This window comes from Homo sapiens, chromosome 17, assembly GCF_000001405.40.
Source record: "Homo sapiens chromosome 17, GRCh38.p14 Primary Assembly".
Lineage (NCBI taxonomy): Eukaryota > Metazoa > Chordata > Mammalia > Primates > Hominidae > Homo > Homo sapiens.
Window position 1 is genome coordinate 17,237,338 of NC_000017.11, and position 18,985 is coordinate 17,256,322.

The 18,985-nt window shown below is 45.6% G+C and overlaps 1 protein-coding gene and 1 pseudogene across 8 annotated transcripts in view, besides 3 other annotated features; one reads left to right on the forward strand and one right to left on the reverse strand.

Moving 5' to 3' along the window:
• Positions 48-157: an enhancer, noted in NCBI's record as "active region_11794". NCBI's record gives its function as "activates an Ori minimal core promoter by ATAC-STARR-seq in GM12878 lymphoblastoid cells {active_cell/tissue: GM12878}" and the evidence as "EXISTENCE:reporter gene assay evidence [ECO:0000049][PMID:35858748]".
• Positions 592-777: a silencer, noted in NCBI's record as "fragment chr17:17141243-17141428 (GRCh37/hg19 assembly coordinates)". NCBI's record gives its function as "represses an EF-1alpha promoter that drives an FKBP-Casp9 reporter gene in an ReSE screen in HepG2 liver carcinoma cells {active_cell/tissue: HepG2}" and the evidence as "EXISTENCE:reporter gene assay evidence [ECO:0000049][PMID:32094911]".
• On the forward strand, positions 4,683-5,581 carry ACTG1P24 (actin gamma 1 pseudogene 24; annotated as a pseudogene).
• Positions 9,279-18,985, reverse strand: part of COPS3 (COP9 signalosome subunit 3) — a 34,631-nt gene continuing 24,924 nt past the window's right edge. For 7 of the 8 annotated variants that reach the window (NM_001316358.2, XM_047436961.1, NM_001316356.2 and 4 more), the window contains 4 exons: positions 17,522-17,608; positions 11,589-11,702; positions 10,143-10,223; positions 9,279-9,814 (listed from right to left, as the gene is read on the reverse strand). In NM_001316358.2, the coding sequence (NP_001303287.1) occupies positions 9,761-9,814; positions 10,143-10,223; positions 11,589-11,702; positions 17,522-17,608 (336 nt within the window). In that variant the 3' untranslated portion in view covers positions 9,279-9,760. The remainder of the gene's footprint in view (positions 9,815-10,142; positions 10,224-11,588; positions 11,703-17,521; positions 17,609-18,985) is intronic. The other variant, NM_001199125.1, reaches the window with a different exon arrangement.
• Positions 13,853-13,955: a silencer, noted in NCBI's record as "fragment chr17:17154504-17154606 (GRCh37/hg19 assembly coordinates)". NCBI's record gives its function as "represses an EF-1alpha promoter that drives an FKBP-Casp9 reporter gene in an ReSE screen in phorbol 12-myristate 13-acetate-treated (for megakaryocytic differentiation) K562 erythroleukemia cells {active_cell/tissue: K562(+PMA)}" and the evidence as "EXISTENCE:reporter gene assay evidence [ECO:0000049][PMID:32094911]".

Below are 18,985 nucleotides of genomic sequence, written 5' to 3' on the forward strand. Positions count from 1 at the left end.
AGGGGCCGCTGCCCGACAATTACCCTTTTCCACCGCCCCTATTCCGGTGCCCCCCTCTGGGAAGTTCCGAATGGTTCAGACCGCACCAGCTGGGGATGCTGGGGGAAACCATTTCATTAAGCGCGGGAGTATGCTGAAACTTAAAAATCATTTTAAAAAGAGATTTGAGGGTAAATATAGCCAACCTAAGGCTTCCTGTCCACATAAAAGAGAAAAATAAAGAAAAAACGTTATAAGAGGTTGGCAGGCTTTTTTTTTTTGCTTCACCAATGGTTTTTATTAAATTGCTGATGGAACCCGTCCTCTCCCTACATTGAGAGTATGGAAGGTGCGGGAGACGGCCGTCACGTGACGCGGAGAAGGCGCGGCGCCCGTGGGAGGTTGGTTGCAGAACTCGGAACCGCTGTGCGCGCGCATGTGTGGGATTCGGTCTTCCTCCCTCAGTGGGTCTTTTTTAAAAATGTGAAAATCAGTTTTTGAATAATATTCTTTTTTTGAGACAGAGTTTCGCTTTCGCTCTTGTTGCCCAGGCTGGAGTCCAGTGGCGCGACCTCGCCTTACTGCAACCTCCGCTTCCCGGGTTCAAGCGATTCTCCTGCCTCAGCCTCCCGAGTAGCTGGGGACTACAGGCGTCCGCCACCACGCCTGGCTAATTTTTTGTATTTTTGCAGAGACGGGTTTTCACCCTTTTGGCCAGGCTGGTCTTGAACTCCTAACCTCAGGTGATCCACCAGCCTCGGCCTCCCAAAGTGCTGGGATTACAGGCGTGAGCCACCGCGCCCGGCCTGAATAATATTTTTTAAAACTAGAGCGCCCATTACTAAATTTAGCTACTTAGAAGTTAATTGTAAAGCCATTAGTTTGTGATGTAGTGTGGGTCCTTCCAGTGAAGACCGGAGAGAGATGGGAATCAGAGCCTGACCCGCCTGTGCGCGCTGCCCCCTGAGGTGTGGCTGCCCCCTGAGGTGTGGCCGCCCCGGAGCCTTCCGCCGCGGCCGAGGCTATGGTTGCCGCAGAGTCTCCAGAATGTGCTCACCAGGAATAGAATAGAAAAGTGGGTGGTTGTGTTTTTGAAATCAGAAGTCACTTATTTTTTTCTCTTTAAATTTCCATGTTCTGGTCGGGCGCGGTGGCTCACGCCTATAATATCCCAACACTTTGGGAGGCCGAGGTGGGCGGATTACGAGGTAAAGAGATGGAGACCATCCTGGCCAACAGGTGAAACCCCCTCTCTACTAAGAATACAAAAAAAATTAGCTGGGCGTGGTGGCACACGCCTGTAGTCCCAGCTACTCTGGTGGCTGAGGCAGGAGAATTGCTTAAACCCGGGAGGCAGAGGTTGCAGTGAGCTGAGATCGTGCCACTGCACTCCAGCCTGGCACAGAGCGAGACTCCATCTAAAAAAAAAAAAAAAAATCCATGGTCTGTTGAAAACGGGACACGAGAAAAGAACGAAAGTGCAGCTTGTGTTTTCTGCCGTCTTATAGTGGCTTGGTAAAGATTAAGGAATATGGGGTGGCGTTACGAGGTTAGGCATTGCCTTTATGTGTTTAATTATTCTTATCAAGCGAATTCCTCTTGCTGTTGGACAGCGCAAACTTAATTTCTGAGGAGGTAGTAAGTTACAGGGTGATTTTATTTTATTTTATTTTAGAGACGGAGTCTTGCTATGTCTCCCAGGCTGGAGTGCAGTGGCGCGATCTCGGCTCACTGCTACCTCCACCTCCCGGGTTCAAGTTCTTGAAACTAATGTTTGTTAATGAGATTTTTAAGTCAAGAACAAGGTTTTTTTCACCTTGTAACTTTAATTCCAGGAATTACCTTTTTCAGTTTGTTAGTGGAGTTCACCACCTTGCTCAGATTATCCTTATTTCCATGGTGATAGGCTAATGGCGGAAGGTTATTCAACTAGTGTATTTTCAGTAAAAGTCAATGTGCATTTACCACACCTGGGCTCAATTTAGGCCATTAACATCTTTCCCAACACCACTGGCTTCAGCCACCTACCTCTTTTGGAGGTACTTTCTTAAATAAACCTATAAATCTTTAAAAAAAAAATTAACAACTGCCAAATCTTTGCCTCAGTGAATTGTACCAAAGGTTATTTAAATTGGGCTCTCATGGGGTATAAAAACTTTCAAGGTCATGCAACAAAAGGGACATCTTAGAAGTCGGAAAATGTGCCCATTCTCATGGGAAAGATAATTGAAACTCAGCAGTAATGTTCAGAAAGCACAGATACCAATAATGTTCAACAATTCACAACCAAATGAAATGCAATGCTAATCTCAAAGCTTCTATCCCATAATGGAAATTGTATGAAATGATTCCAGAAGCTCTGGATATGTTACTGCCTGGCATGCATACAATCCAGAATGTGTTTTTTCCACCACTGAAACAGGCTCAATCAGAATTAAGATTTTTTTCCACCACTGAAATAGGCTCAATCAGAATTAAGGTTTTTTGATGCTTTTCTGCCTTCTTACTACTGCTAAACCAAGAGGCTTCATTATAGCTGAGTATCCAAACTGATCAATCACTTCCAAGGCATCAGTTGCCAGGACCATAGAGCCAAGTGGCAGGGAAAAGTCACATCTTATTCAGAAATTTGTTTTAGAGTTTTTTATATGTACCCTTAGCCACAGGGGCTCTGATGTAGCTGTAGGATACAGCTGGGCTTTATCTTTCAGTCAAACCACATGTCAATGACTCTTAGTTTCCAGTTTCAGGAAGAAGGGGTGTATTTCATTTGTAAGCATTTCAATTTAATATTTTTAATCACATCTCATATTTTCAAGTTACTATAATTGATTCCCTGTTATAAAAATAATGATCTAAGTTTTTGTTTCTTCCAGCAACTGAGAAAACATTCCGTTTTTAGATGTTTTGAACAGTTTAGGAGTCTGGCCAGCTGCTGAAAGGCAGCAAGCAATGAGTAACATTTCAGAAGGTGAGATAAATGCACAATTTCTTTTTTTTTTTTTTTTGAGACGGAGTCTCACTCTGTCGCTAGGTTGGAGTACAGTGGCGTGATCTTCGCTCACTGCAACCTCCCCCTCCCGGGTTCAAGCACTTCTCCTGCCTCAGCCTCCCGAGTAACTGGGACTACAGGCGCATGCCACCAGGCTCAGCTAATTTTTGTATTTTTAGTAGAGACGGGTTTCACCATGTTGGTCAGGCTGGTCTCGAACTGCTGACCTTGTGATCTGCCCTCCCAAAGTGCTGGGATAACAGGCGTGAGCCACTGCACCCAGCCCATGCACAATTTCTTTCTTTCTCTTTTTTTTTTTTTTTTTCTTTTTTGAGACGGAGTCTTGCTCTGTTGCCCAGGCTGGAGTGCAGTGGCGCCATGTCCGCTCACTGAAAGCTCTGCCCCCAGGGTTCATGCCATTCTCCTGCCTCAGTCTCCTGAGTAGCTGGGACTACAGGCGTCTGCCACCAGGCCCAGCTAATTTTTTGTATCTTTAGTAGAGACGGGGTTTCACTGTGTTAGCCAGGATGCTCTCGATCTGCCTGCCTCGGCCTCCCAAAGTGCTGGGATTACAGGCGTGAGCCACTGCGCCCAGCCTAGCCCATGCACAGTTTCTAAGTTCAGGTTTTAGGTAATTAGACAATCAACTCTGCACATAAGGCATCCAGTCAGTTGCGAGGTATGAGTTATTAGTGGTTCAATAAAGGCCATTAGGATTAATTTAATATTTCTTACCATAGCAATTTCTGTAAGCTTTTAAAAATTAACCTCTCTCCACTAATTAGAATTCATCTGCTATGCCTTTTGTGTTTTAATCTACTACTAGGTGCCTATTAAATACCATGTGTTGACATTTTCGTCTAACAATCAACTATAGAGCCAGCCTATGGATTCAGACTTATTAAATGCTTTTTGCAATTAAAGTTCTCTGATTTCAGCCTTTGATGTTAGGAAAGGATACAGATAGGATTTTCTTTGTTCACTATCATTAAGTAATTCAGTTACTTAAAAAGATAGCCATCACATTTTCTTATTCACAGATACCTGATTTACCTAGTCATTTATTTTCTCTGGCCCCTTTGCAACTGCTCAGACTTAGGTCCAAATAACATAACCTTCCACAAAGTGGGTACCAATTCAGGTTGGAACCCAGAAACTTAGGACTTACAAACCCAAAACTTCATATTTTGTTTTGTGTTTTTTGTTTTGTTTTTTTTGAGATGGAGTCTCGCTCTGTCACCCAGGCTGGAGCGCAGTGGTGCGATCTTGGCTCACTGCAAGCTCCGCCTCCGGGATTCAAGTGATTCTTCTGCCTCAGCCTCCCGAGTAGCTGGGACTACAGGCAGGTGCCACTACGCCTGGCTAATTTTTCATATTTTTAGTAGAGACAGGGTTTTACCATGTTAGCTAGGATGGTTTCGATTTCCTGACGTCATGATCTGCCTGCATCGGCCTCCCAAACAAAGTCCTGGGATTACAGGCGTGAGCCACCGTGCCTGGCCGATCTGACGGTTTTTAAAATGGGAGTTTCCCTGCACAAGCTCTCTCTCTCTTTGCCTGCTGCCATTCGTGTAAGACGTGACTTGCCTCCCACCATGACTGTGAGGCCTCCCCAGCCACCTGGAACTGTAAGTCCATTAGGCCTCTTTCTTTTGTAAATTGTCCAGTCTCAGGTGTGTCTTTATCAGCAGTGCAAAAATGGACTAATACAGATGACATGGAGAAGATCTGGCACCACACCTTCTGCAGTGAGCTGCACGTGGCCCCAGAGGAGCACCTAGTGCTGCTGACCAAGGCCCCCCTGAACCCCAAGGTCAACAGAGAGAAGATAACTCAGATCATGTTTGAGACCTTTAACACCTGGGCCATGTACGTGGCCATCCAGGCCATGCTGTCCCTCTACACCTCTGGGCACACCACTGGCATTGTCCTGGACTCTGGAGATGGGGTCACCCACATGGTGCCCATCTACAAGGGCTATACCCTCCCCCATGGCATCCTGTGTCGACCTGGCTGGCCAGGACCTGACTACCCCATGAAAATCCTCACCAAGCTTGGCTACAGCTTGATCACCACGGCCGAGTGGGAGATCATGCATGACAAGGAGAAGCTGTGTTGCCCTTCGAGCAGGAGATGGCCACCGCCGCATCCTCCTCCTCCCTGGAGAATAGCTGTGAGGTGCCCATGGCCAGGTCATCGCCATTGGCAACAAGCAGTTCCAGTGTCTGGAGGCACTGTTCCAGCCTTCCTTCCTGGGCATGGAATGTTGCAGCATCCACAAGACCACCTTCAACTCCATCATGAAGTGTGATGTGGACATCTGCAAAGACTTATATGCCAACACGTGCTGTCTGGCGGCACCACCATGTACTGGGGCATCCTGACAGGATGCAGAAGGAGATCACTGCCCTGGTGCCCAGCACCACGAAGATCAAGATCATTGTGCCCCGCCCCAAGCACAGGTACTCAGTGTGGATCGGCAGTTCCATCCTGGCCTCACTGTCTACCTTCCAGCAGATGTGGATCAGCAAGCAGGAGTAAGATGAGTCAGGCCCCTCCATCATCCACCACAAACGCTTTTAAACGGACTGTGAGCCGATGAGTAGCATTTACTGCATGGGTTAATTCCAGAGTATAAATTTGCCCTTGGAGGCCGGGCGTGGTGGCTCACGCCTGTAATCCCAGCACTTTGGGAGGCCGAGGTGGGCAGATCACAAGGTCAGGAGATCAAGACCATCCTGGCTAGCACGGTGAAACCCCATCTCTACTAAAAATACAAAAAAATTAGCCGGGCGTGGTAGAGGGTGCCTGTAGTCCCAGCTACTCGGGAGGCTGAGGCAGAAGAATGGTGTGAACCTGAGAGGTGGAGCTTGCAGTGAGACAAGATTGTGCCACTGCACTCCAGCCTGGGCAACAGAGCGAAACTCCGTCTCAAAAGAAAAAAAAAAATTTGCCCCTGGCAAATGCATACACCTCATACTAGCCTCACGAAACTGGAATAAGCCTTTGAAAGAAGTTTGTCCTTAAGGTTTGTATCTGATATCAGCACTGGATTGTAAAACTTGTTGCTGATTTTGACCTTGTATTCAAGTTAACTGTTCTCCTTGGTATTTGTGTAATGCCCTATACATCTTTGATTTCAACCCTTAGTACGTGTGGCTTGGTCACTTCGTGGCTGAGGTAAGAACTGGCTTGTGGAAGACAGGTCAGTGGTTTGGTGAGTCTGTGTGGCCAGCAGTCTCCGATCTGTGCAGTGTATTAATGTGTCAGGGCAGAGTGTTCTGCTGTAGAGCCTGGTAAGGGCTCCTGAACCAATTGTTTCTGTCTTGCCGGTCTATCAGGGTTGGAAAAGTCCAAGCCATAGGACCAAGTTTCCTCTCTTAGCTGATGTTTTCATGCCAGAACACCATGAGCTGCTACTTGTCTTGAGTTGGAAGCAGTTCGTATTTCCACCTGTAAATGTATTCATCCCTTTAATTTATGTAGGGTTTTCTTGTACTCAATTCTCAATTCTTTGAGATGACAACACATTTTGTTTTTTTACTGTTATGTGAGAACATCAGGCCCCAGCAACACGTCATTGTGTAAGGAAAAATAAAAGTACTGCTGTAAAAGAAACAAAAAAAATCGGCTGGGTGCGGTGGCTTAACGCCTGTGAGCCCAGCACTTTGGGAGGCCAAGGTGGGTGGATTGCTTGAGGTCAGGAGTTTGAGCCTGGCCAGGCCAACATGGCAAAACCCTGTCTCTAGTAAAATGCAAAAGTTAGCTAGACGTGGTGGTGGGTGCCTGTAATCCCAGCTACTAGGGAGGCTGAGGCAGGAGAATTGCTTAAACCAGGAGGTGGAGGTTGCAGTGAGCTGAGATCACACCACTTCACTCCACCCTGGGCTACAGAGGAGACTCCATCTCAAAAAAAAAAATTCAGGAGTCTCACTGAGGTAGTAGCTACAGTGAGCAGATACCACCCCTTAAGGGTTGGGGAACAAAGGGAAAAGATTGGGACGAATAGAATTTAAAATTCTGAAGGAGGGCACAGTGGGAAGATGGGGGAGGCCTGCCTCCTGGGCCCCTTTATCTCTAAGGGGCTGTGCTGAGGCTGATTCTAGGAGCATGGGGGAAACTGCACACTGGAAGCAGACTTGCCTGGACCATGCTGCTCAACAGAGGCAGATGCAGGGAGCCTGTCACTTTCTCCCCCGAGCTCTAATCCCCTTCTTGCTGGTTTGCAGAGGTCTAGCCCAAGAATCACAAAGCAGAACACAGAACAGGGGATTCAAAGCTGAAACGATTGTGACCAGCTCTCCCCTCAAACAGACTCAGGGTTTGCAGGTACTAGGACAAGGTTCTAAATAACATATCCCCTTTCAGTTCAAGTTTCCAAAAAATGCAGTTATTTTAATGAATCCACCTTGGGTAAAAAATTATAATAGCATCCACATCATTAGCAGCTCACAGTACTTTTCACTTATATAGTCACGACTGACAAGTACTAGCAGTTCACAGACACATTCTAAGTGATTTTGATTTCAGATCCAGATAATGAGAAGCTAATTGTTTTTTAAAAATAAAACAGGGTCTATAATTCATTACACAGATAAATGATCATTTCCCATTAAATATTTTGTTTCCTAAGTGCAGGTATACGTAAACAAGTGAAAGGGATGCAACCCACAAATAGTCCTAATTCAAGGGCTAGAGAATTTGACAGTTTAGTTGATAGGTCAGCAAACTATAGGCTTCAGGTCAGACCTAGCCTGCTGCCTACCTTTTTTTTTTTTTTTTTTTTTTGAGATGGAGTTTTGCTGTTGTCGCCCAGGCTGGAGTGCAATGGCATGATCTTGGCTCACCACAACCTCCACCTCCCGGGTTCAAGCGATTCTCCTGTCTCAGCCTCCTGAGTAGCTGAGATTACAGGCGCCTGCCACCACACCCAGCTAATGTTTGTATTTTTAGTAGAGACTGTTTCACCATGTTGGTCATGCTGGTCTCAAACTCCTGACCTCAGGTGATCCACCCGCCTTGGCCTCCCAAAGTGCTGGGATTACAGGCATGAGCCACCATGCCTGGCCACTGCCTACTTTTTATAAATAAAGTTTTACTACTAAAATGGCCACAGTTACAATAGGCCATATGACCTCCAAAGCCTAAGTGTGGACTCTATTAGGGTAACTTTTTATGTGACTCATGAGGTTTCTTTTCTTTTCTTTTTTTTTTAATAGAGTCTTGCTCTTGTCACCCAGGCTGGATTGCAGTGGCATGATCTTGGCTCACTGCAACCTCCACCTCCCGGGTTCAAGCGATTCTCCTGCCTCAGCCTCCTGAGTAGCTGAAATTACGGGCACCCACCACCATGCCCGGCTCATTTTTTGTATTTTTAGTAGAGATGGTGTTTCACCATATTGCCCAGGCTGGTCTCAAACTACTGACCCAGGTGATCACCTGCCTTGGCCTCCCAAAGTGCTGGGATTACAGGCGTAAGCCACTGCACACAGCTGAGGTTTCTTTTTTAAATAATGAAAATGTGCCTTACCAGACAACTTGAAACATTTTAAAAACTGAATGTTTGTAGTGAGAGAGATTTTTTTAAGGAACAAATTTGATGTGTTTTAACCTGACCACACTTTATTCTGCTCCACACCATTCCAGGGCTAAATCAGTAAATCCTAGTCCAAATTCCTGTGACAGGAGAGGCCCTGAACATAATCAAAATGCAACTATCAGTTTACCTGATATGCTTTGACAAGAAAAAGTGGGAAAGCCTGCCATTTGTCTCTTAAAAACTGTAAGTTGAGAGGGGGAGAAAAGCCATTTTCAAGACTACAAAAGTGTAGCACCCACTAAAGGTTGGAAAGTGCTTTTGACACCACCTGGACAACATGGCAAAACCCCATCTCTACAAAAAAAAAAAAAAAAAAAAAAGGCTGGCTGTGGTGGTGCTCGCCTGTAGTCCCAGCTACTTAGGAAGCTGAGGTAGGAGAATCAGCTGAGCCTGGGAAGTTTAGGTAAGCCATGATGGCACCATTGCACTGCAGCCTGGGTGACAGAGACCCTGTCTCTTAAAAAAAAAAAGAAAAAAAAGTGAAGCACCAATGGCATCTCATAATCCACAACTCATACTCTCACTAATATGCATGTTAATTTTAATTTTAAAAATTAGCTTATGCCTCAGGGACGCTCCTACCCTTTTTTTTTTTTGTAAACAGAGACAGGGTCTCACTATGTTGGCCAAGGTGGTCTGAATTCCTGGCCTCAAGCAATCCTGCCTCGGCCTCCCAAAGTGCTAGGATATTACAGGTGTGAGCCACTGTGTCTGTCTGGCCTTTCTTTTCTTTTATTTTCTGAAGACAATGATTACAACTTTTAGATTTTTTTGTAGATACAAATTTGTCAATAAATAAAAACCTTTCAGATCCAAATCTTCCAAAAATTCCTAAAATCCAGCTATTTCTGTTCACAATGAATGTGCTTATTAAAAACTTCAGAGGAGAAAAAAGTGATACAGAAGACACATTAATGTTCAAGCAACTTAAAACAAAAAGGTAGATTTAATGCAGTAACAATAATCTGAGGATAAATAAATCCACGACAGACTTTAAAGTTTGCAAATCTGTTTCCTTTCTTTGCAGAGAAAATGGTTTTCTGAAAGCACACAGGACTGAAGATGTCAAAACAAAACTTAATTTCTTAGTCTCCAGGTGACACAGGCTTGGTCCTCTCTGCTGCCCTCCGAACACTTGTCACTGGCCAAGATGGTAGTTTCTCTTGTTTAGCTCAGGATGGATGTTAGTTTCAAGAATAACTGGATGGTTTGTTTCCTGAATCATCTTCTTGTGAGCCCATACTCTGTAAAGGTAAAGTGAAGTTATGTATTTATGTTTGCTTTTATCAAGGGTTCCCCGGCAGCCCAATAAGCACACCAGTTGCCCTGTCCCTCCCAGAACAAAGCCCCCTGTGAACAAGGGCAGGCAATTCCAGGAACCACCCTAAGCATCCCTAAGTGTACTTCCAGGCCATCATTTGAAAATGCTCTCAACTAGTATTTCTCCATGACCGTACTGGTAAGGTTTTCAAGAAATATTTAATAACCTGAAACTTAGTTCCTGTGCCTGATGTGACAACACCCCTCCTTCTCCACCCAGCCTACTTCTTGTAATAAGGGAACCCTCATCACCTTTTGTACAAACTGAGGGTTCACTGTGATCTCCTGGTCCATGGCTTTCAGCCGCTCATCCAGCTCAATGCACTTCAGCATCTGCATGACAGGCACATTAGAAGGTGGTCAGCGGCGGGTTTAGGTCAGCTGCATCCTTTCTAACTTACACTGTTCACAAGGGTGCTATAGGTTCACAATCTCTTGATGTGAAACCCCTGGGGCCACATGGGTTTTGGAGCCAGAGTATTTTGGACTCAGAAAGCTAATACATCTATCATATAATACCAAATATCCCACCCAGCAGGATCTAGGCAAACCTCATAATCAAACACATAGTATCTTTTGCAGTGAAACGAGTATATTCATGCTGAGATAAATGAAGACTAGACACCATTTCAGGTGACATTTTGCCATTAAATTAATTACAAAAAAACATAGTTTTCTGAGATTTAATATTCAGTTCACTTCCCTGCTCAGAGGTAAGAAACACAGACCACCCACAAAACTCCCCCTTCAGCCCCCAGAATCAGAGGCAGCATGCCCTCAGGAGACACAGAGGTGACTGCTGCAGCTGTAGCCAGGCTGTTGCCTAAAGGGGACCGTCAGGGAGGGCTTTGCTCTTCTCCTCCAGCCACCCCGACTCTGCTTCTCACATAGGGAGAGATGTTTCCTAACCTCCCAACCTGGAACTCCACAGACATTTCAGCAAAAACATAAGGCTCTATGTTGTAGGTGGCAGCTGGGAATAGATAAAGTTATACTGGGCCCTTTAAGTGTTTTCACAGTTAAGGGAGGTTTTGATGAGTTAGCTGGGATATCTAACCCACCATTTATTTACAGCCATACAATCTGAGAGAGTTTTGTTTTTTTGAGACAGAGTCTCCCTCTGTTGCCCAGGCTGGAGTGCAGTGGCGCAATCTCAGCTTACTGTAACATCTGCCTCCCAGGTTCTAAGAGACTTTCCTGCCTCAGCCTCCAGAGTAGCTGGGATTACAGGCGTGCACCACCACACCCGGCTGATTTTTTATTTTTTTTAGTAGAGACGGGGTTTTGCCATGTTGGGCAGGCTGGTCTTGAACTCCTGACCTCAGCTGATCCACCCACTTCAGCCTCCCAAAGTGTTGGGATTACAGGCATGAGCCACCACACCCAGCCTGGAAGAGTTTTAAGCAGCCCATTCTGGGTTTCTTTTGTTGTTGTTGCTGCTTTTCTTGAGACAGAGTCTTGCTCTGTCACCCAAGGTGGAGGACAGTGGCACAATCTCGGCTCACTGTAACCCGTCTCCAGGGTTCAAGCAATTCTCCTTAAGCAGCCCATTTTGAAACTAACTTTCTAGTAACTAAGATGTTCACAGACTGGGAACTACCTGTACTTAAAACTAAAATTATCCTGGAACATAGGAGCAATTTTCAAATACATCTCAACCATCAATTAAAAAAATAAAAACCTGGCATTCATGTTTACCTCCTGATCAATGTTATGAAGCATGGCTGGGTTATTATATTTTTCAGGGTTATCATGGAAACTGACCATACCGTCCTTCTGGTTAATACTTGCAAAAATCTCACCATCTTCTATCTGCAGAAAGAAAAAAAAAAAAATCAGGAAAGCAGTTTAGACCTGAATGCTATATGAATAGTCATCCAGTATAATCACAGAAAAGCATGGAAGGCAACATGGATATAAATAAACTTGTATATTTTTAAGCGCCATCTGTTTATCCAAGTATTTATTAAATACCTACTATTTGCTAGGCACCATTATAGATGCTAAGAGGTGTAAAACTGATACACACAAAATCCCTGCCCTTGCATTTTTGTTATTGAGGTGAAGTCCACACAACATAATTAACCATTTTATTTATTTATTTATTTATTTATTTGAGATGGAGTCTCGCTGTCCCCCAGGCTGGAGTGCAGTGGTGCGTTCTTGGCTCACTGCAACCTCTACCTCCGGGGTTCAAGCAATTCTCCTGCCTCAGCCTCCCAAGTAACTGGGATTACAGGTGCCCGCCACCACACCAGGCTAATTTTTTTGTTGTTTTTTTTGAGATGGCGTTTCGCTCTTGTTGCCCAGGCTGGAGTGTAATGGCACAATCTCGGCTCACTGCAACCTCCGCCTCCTGAGTTCAAGCAATTCTCCTGCTTCAGCCTCCTAAGTAGCTAGCATTACAGGCATGCACCACCACGCCTGGCTAATTTTGTATTTTTAGTAGAGACAGGGTTTCTCCATGTTGGTCAGGCTGGTCTCCAACTCCCGACTTTAGGTGAGCCATCCGCCTCGGCTTCCCAAAGTGCTGGGATTACAGGCGTAAGCCACCGCGCCCAGCCATTTTTTTGTATTTTTAATAAACACGGGGTTTCACCATGTTGGCCAGGCTGGTTTCGAACTCTTAACCTCAAGTGATCTACCTGCCTCGGCCTCCCAAAATGCTGGGATTACAGGCATGGGCCACCACATCTGGCCTACCTTTTTAAAGTGAGCAATTAATTGGCATTTAATGCATTCTACAATGTTGTGCCACCACCATCTCTATCTAGTTCTGGAGCATTTTCGTCACCCCAGAAAGAGGCCCTAGGCCCATTAGCAGTCCCTCCCCATTCCCTCCTTCTCCTCCCAGCCCCTGGAAACCACCAATCTGTTCTTGTCTCGTATGGATTTGCCTTTTCTGGATATATGAATGGAATCATATACTATGTAATCTTTTGTGGTCTGGCTTCCCTTAGCATGATGTATTTGAGGTGCCCTTGCATTTTTCAACATCAGCTGCACTGAAATATAACTTACATCGCCTTTTTTTTTTTTTTTTTTGAGATGGGGTCTCGCTCTGTTGCCCAGGCTGGAGTGCAGTGGCTTGATCTCTGCTCACTGCAACCTCCACCTCCTGGGTTCAGGGGATTCTCCTGCCTCGGCCTCCTAAGTAGCTGGGACTACAGGTATGTGCCACGATGCCCAGCTAATTTTTTTTATTTTTAGTAGAGATGACGTTTTGCCATGTTGGCCAGGCTGGGCCACTGTATTTTAAAAAGTAAAGCCTAACACGTTTTCTTTTCATCCCAGTGGAAACTATCTTCCGATTCTTCAAGAAAACTTTACTACCACTGGGGATTCCAAGGTAGATTCAAGGTCTATATATTATTTATTTGCATCAGTTACTGGGGAATTATTTGACTGATCCTCAAAGCCAAATCCTGCCCATGAAGTTAAAAAGTGAGATACCAATAAAAGTACAAAACAGGTATTTTATTCCTAACAAGATGTTCCACACGGTGATAATAACTTGTCCATTTGTTAGCAGTGAAACTGCTGGCCTACTTGTCTCTAGCTTTGGAAGGGATAGATGCTATTTAGTGAAACAGTAACCAGCCCAATACATATTATACAAAATGCATAGTTCTCTATGTGATCACAGAGAGCTGCCTCTTTAAGCAGATGGAATGTATCTAAGCAAAATTTGGACCTACCTTCACCACAGCAGCACTATTCATAATAAATTAACCAGAACTGGAAACAACCCCAATGTCTAACTATTTATTTATTTACATTATTTGAGACAAGAGTCTTGCACTGTTGCCCAGGCTGGAGTGCAGTGGCGCAATCTCAGCTCACTGCAAGCTCCACCTCCCAGGTTCATGCCATTCTCCTGCCTCAGCCTCCCGAGTAGCTGGGACTACAGGCATCTGCCACCACGCCTGGCTAATTTTTTGTACTTTTAGTAGAGACGGGGTTTCACTATGTTAGCCAGGATGCTCTCGATCTCCTGACCTCATGATCTGCCCGCCTCAGCCTCCCAAAGTGCTGGAATTACAGGTGTGAGCCACCATACCCGGCCTATTTATTTATTTTTTTGGAGACGGAGTTTCGCTCTTGTCACCCAGGCTGGAGTGCAATGGTGTGATCTCCAGTCACTGCAACCTCCGCCTCCTGGGTTTGAGCGATTCTCCAGCCTCAGCCTCCCAAGTAGCTGGGATTACAGGCGCCCGCCATCATGCCTAGCTAATTTTTTTTGTATTTTTAGTAGAGACGGGGTTTCACCATGTTGGCCAGGCTGGTCTTGAACTCCTGACCTCAGGTGAGCTGCCTGCCTCAGCCTCCCAAAGTGCTGAGATTACAGGCACCACGCCCAGCCTGTCCAACTAATTAAAATGGAAAGGTGTATCAAACACTGGAACATTGTAGCCCTGAAAACGAATGAACTACGGCTACATACAGCATCATGCATGACTCTCACAATGCTGAGCCAAAAAACCAGATTCCCAGAAAGAATGTGCTGTGTGTTTCCTTCTACATCAAACTCAGAAACAAACAGAACTAAAATAGGATGTTAGAAGTCAGGATGGGAGGCCGGGCACGGTGGCTCATGCCTGTAATCCCAGCACTTTGGGAGGCCGAGGTCAGGAGATCAAGACCATCCTGGCTAACATGGTGAAACCCCGTCTCTACTAAAAATACAAAAAATTAGCCAGGCGTAGTGGTGGGCGCCTGTAGTCCCAGCTACTCGGGAGGCTGAGGCAGGAGAATGGCGTGAACCTGGGAGGTGGAGCTTGCAGTGAGCTGAGATCGCACCACTGCACTCCAGCCTGGGTGACAGAGCAAGACTCCGTCTCAAAAAAAAAAAGTCAGGATGGGAACAACCTTTCTAGAGAGGCACAGGGCTGGAAGCAGACACAAGGGATATTTTCCGGGTGCTGGTCATATTCTGTTCCTTCTTCTAGGTGTTGGAATCTTTGTGAAAATGTGTTTAGCCGTACACTTAAGTGTACTTTTCCAATGTTTACTTTAAAAAACAAACAAACAAAAAAAAACCCTGGTCTCACAGACCTTTCATTCCAGAAGGGTTTCTCAAGCCTGGCAGTCCTGACATTTGGGGGCAGATAACGCTTTGGTGTGTGGGCTGTCCAGGGTACAGATAACGCTTTGGTGTGTGGGCTGTCCTGGGTACAGATAACGCTTTGGTGTGTGGGCTGTCCTGGGTACAGATAACGCTTTGGTGTGTGGGCTGTCCTGGGCACTGCAGGACGTTTAGCAGCATCCCTGGCCCGTACCCATTAGACGCCAGTAGCACCCCCATCTGTGAAAACCAAAACTGCTTCCAGACGTTGCCTAATGTCTCCTGGCAGACAAAATCACCCTCAGAGGAGAACCACTGCTCCAGAGCCTGTCAGGGTGTCTGGGCTGGTTAAGCAGGGCTCAAAACTCACACCCACTTTGACCCCGCAACGCGTTGCTAGCTAGTATGTCCTGTCTGGTGTCATAACCACTCATGTATTTCTTCTCACTCGCCACTGAAGAGGGAATTTCTTGGGGAAAGCGTCTATAGCTTATTCTGTGTAACCCCTGTGGGGTTACCAAGATGCTCTTAGCAGACACAAGTCATAGAGGTATGGTTTTGTTTGGTGTGTGCATGTTTTGAATGGTAGGTTGAAGCAAAAAACCCTTTAGAACACTTGTAAATTCAACTATCAAAATGAAATACTCAGCTGGGTGCAGTGGCTGTATCCAGCTGTAATCCCAGCACTTTGGGAGGCCAAGGTGGGAAGGTCACTTGAGGCCAGAAATCTCAAGTTATGCCTGGCCAACATAAAGAGACCCTGCCTGTACAAAAAATTTAAAAATTAGCTGGGTGTGGTGGCACACATCTGTAGTCACAGCTACTTGGGAGGCTGAGGTGAGAGGATCATTTAAGCCTAGGCAGTCAAGGCTGCAGTGAGCCATGATTACGCCACTGCACTCCAGCCTGGGCAACACAGGAAGACCTTGTCTCAATCAATCAATCAATCAATCAAAATACTCCAAATTCTGAAATCATACAAGGGGTCATATGAAGCTTTGCCTGTCCTGAGCTAAGGACACAGGTTTTCAGTGAACTAAAACCAGATCAGAACTATGTACTTATGTAACTGAATAGGTAGGTAGATTACAATACATCAATGTGGTGGGTTATCATATAGTCATTTAAATGATGCTTATCCAAATCAGGAGTGGTTGCCTGGTTGGGGTGGGGCTGAGAGTGGGGAAATGCAACTGGCAGGTGATAAAGAGGGAGTGTCAGGGCACTGGTGCTATTTCATTTCCTAAGCTGGATGCTAAGTCCTGGGTGTGTGCTCTGGCCTCCTTTATGTCAGTGCTGCTTATGGACCAAAACCCTCAGTGACGGAAGAGGCTAAGTCAGAATGTCAGTCAATGATGTCGCTAAGCACACTGTGTAGTTCAGCAAACATTGTTCAGCAAGATTTCTTGCTGCAGCAGTTGCTTGATGTACGTACTGGCAAAAGCTTGTGATCTCATCACAGATAAGCAGAGGAAGTAGCCCTACCTTATACCTCTTTGTATACCAAAAATATTTCATGAGGGTTATGAGGTTTACAAAAATTCTGATAATGAAAATATGTAAATATAGCCGCCTGTAATACCAGCTACTCGGGAGGCTGAGACAGGAGAATTGTTTGAACCCTGGAGGTGGGGGTTGCAGTGAGCTAAGATCACACCACTGCACTCCAGCCTGGGCAACAAAGCGAGAGTCCGCCTCAAAATAAAATAAAAGAAAATAATAAGGAGTACAGGGCTGGGCACAGTGGCTCACGTATGTAATCCCAACAATTTGGGAGGCCTAGGAGGGCAGATTGAGCCTAGGAGTTCAAATCCAGCCTGGGCAACATGGAGAAACCCCATCTCTTCAAAAAAATACAAAAATTAGTCAGGCATGGTGACACATACATGCCTGTAGTCCCAGCTACTTGGGAGGCTGAGGTGGGTGGATTACTTAAACCCAGGGAATTGAGGCTGCAGTGAGCCGAGATTGCACCACTGCACACCAGCCTGGGCAACAAGATGAAGCCATCTCAAAAAAAAAAAAAAAGGAAGCACAAATAGGACGCAAGCCTGATGTGTATATCATATGAGCACACTAAAACTAGAAACTATAAGGAAACAGACCAAATTGTCAATAGTGGTAGACTTTGGAGGCTCCCCCCGCTTTTCTCCTTTTTAATATTTTCCACAATGAACATCTGTTACTCTTACAGTAACAAAAATCCAGTAATTAATTTTCAAAAAAATGAAAATCAAGGCCAGGCACGGTGGCTCATGCCTATAATCCCAGCACTTTGGGAGCCCGAGGCGGGCAGATCACGTGGTCAGGAGTTTGAGACCAGCCTGACCAACATGGTGAAACCCCATCTCTACTAAAAATACAAAAATTTAGCCGGGCATGGTGGCGCATGCCTGTAGTCCCAGCTCTCGGGAGGCTGAGGCAAGAGAATCACTTGAATCCGGGAGGTGGAGGTTGCAGTGAGCCAAGACTGTGCCACTACACTCCAGCCTGGTGACAGAGCGAGACTCCATCTCAAAAAGAAAAAAAAAAAAAAAAAAGAAAAAGAAAAAGAAAATCCACTTACCATGTGCAGAACGTATTTCTCTGCCTCCTGAGGTCCAGACAACTGCACACGACTTGCCATATCTTGTAATGATAGAGTTAAAAAGGTCTGAAAGTCAGAAGCAGAATTAGTCACAGGTAGGAACAACGAAGGAAGGACATTTTATTAAATGTGTACAGAGCGGCCAGGCGTGGTGGCTCATGTCTGTAATCCCAGCACTTTGGGAGGCTGAGGTGGGCAGATCATGAGGCCAGGAGATTGAGACCATCTTGGCTAACATGGTGAAACCCTGTCTCTACTAAAAATACAGAAAATTAGCTGGTATGGTGGTGCACGCCTGTAGTCCCAGCTACTTGGGAGGCTGAGACAGGAGAATCGCTTGAACCCAGGAGGCGGAGGTTGCAGTGAGTGGAGACTGAGCCACTGAACTCCAGCCTGGGTGACAAAGTGAGACTCTGTCTCAAAACAAAAAACAAAAAACAAAAAAAGAATTAGCCAGGCGTGGTGGCATGCGTCTGTAGTCCCAGCTACTTGGGAGGCTGAGACAAGAGAATCAGAGAATTGCTTGAACCCAGGAGGTGGAGGTTGCAGTGAGCTGAGACTGCGCCACTGCTCTCCAGCCTGGACGACAGAGCAAGACTCTATTTCAAAAAAAAAAGTGTACAGAGCTCTTCCCATTGATGTACAGAATAGATTTGTGTAGATGACTTAAAACTGATGGGCGAGGGGTGGTGGCTCACACCTGTAATCCCACCACTTTGGGAGGCCGAGGTGGGTGGATCAATTGAGGTCAAGAGTTCCAGACCAGCCTGGCCAACATGATGAAACTCCACCTCTACTAAAAACGCAAAAATTTGCCAGGCATGGTGGCAGGCACCTGTAATCCCAGCTGCTCAGGAGGCTGAGGCAGGATAATCGCTTAAACTTGGGAGGTGGAGGTTGCAGCAAGCCGAGATCGCGTGATTCACTCCAGCCTGGGCAACAGAGTGAGACTCCATCTCAAAATAAATAAATAAATAAATAAATAAATAAATAAATAAATAACTGATAGGCTGGGCACGGTGGCTCATGCCTGTAATCTCAGCACTTTGGGAGGCCCAGGCGAGTGGATCACGAGGTCAGGACATCGAGACCATCCTGGCTAACGTGGTGAAACCCTGTCTCTACTAAAAATACAAAAAAAAAAAAAAAATTAGCCGGGCGTGGTGGTGGGCACTTGTAGTCCCAGCTACTTGGGAGGCTGAGGCAGGAGAATGGCGTGAACCCAGGAGGTGGAGCTTGTTGTGAGCCAAGATCACGCCACTGCACTCCAGCCTGGGCAACTGAGCAAGACTCTGTCACAAAAAAAAATAAAAAAATAAAAACTGATGAACCCAGTGGTTTGTCAATTTCCTAGAGGAGTAATGAAAAATAATTTTATATATATATGTAAACTGAAAAGGAATCCAAGGTATGCACATCATTATGAAGATTTTCATCTTTTGA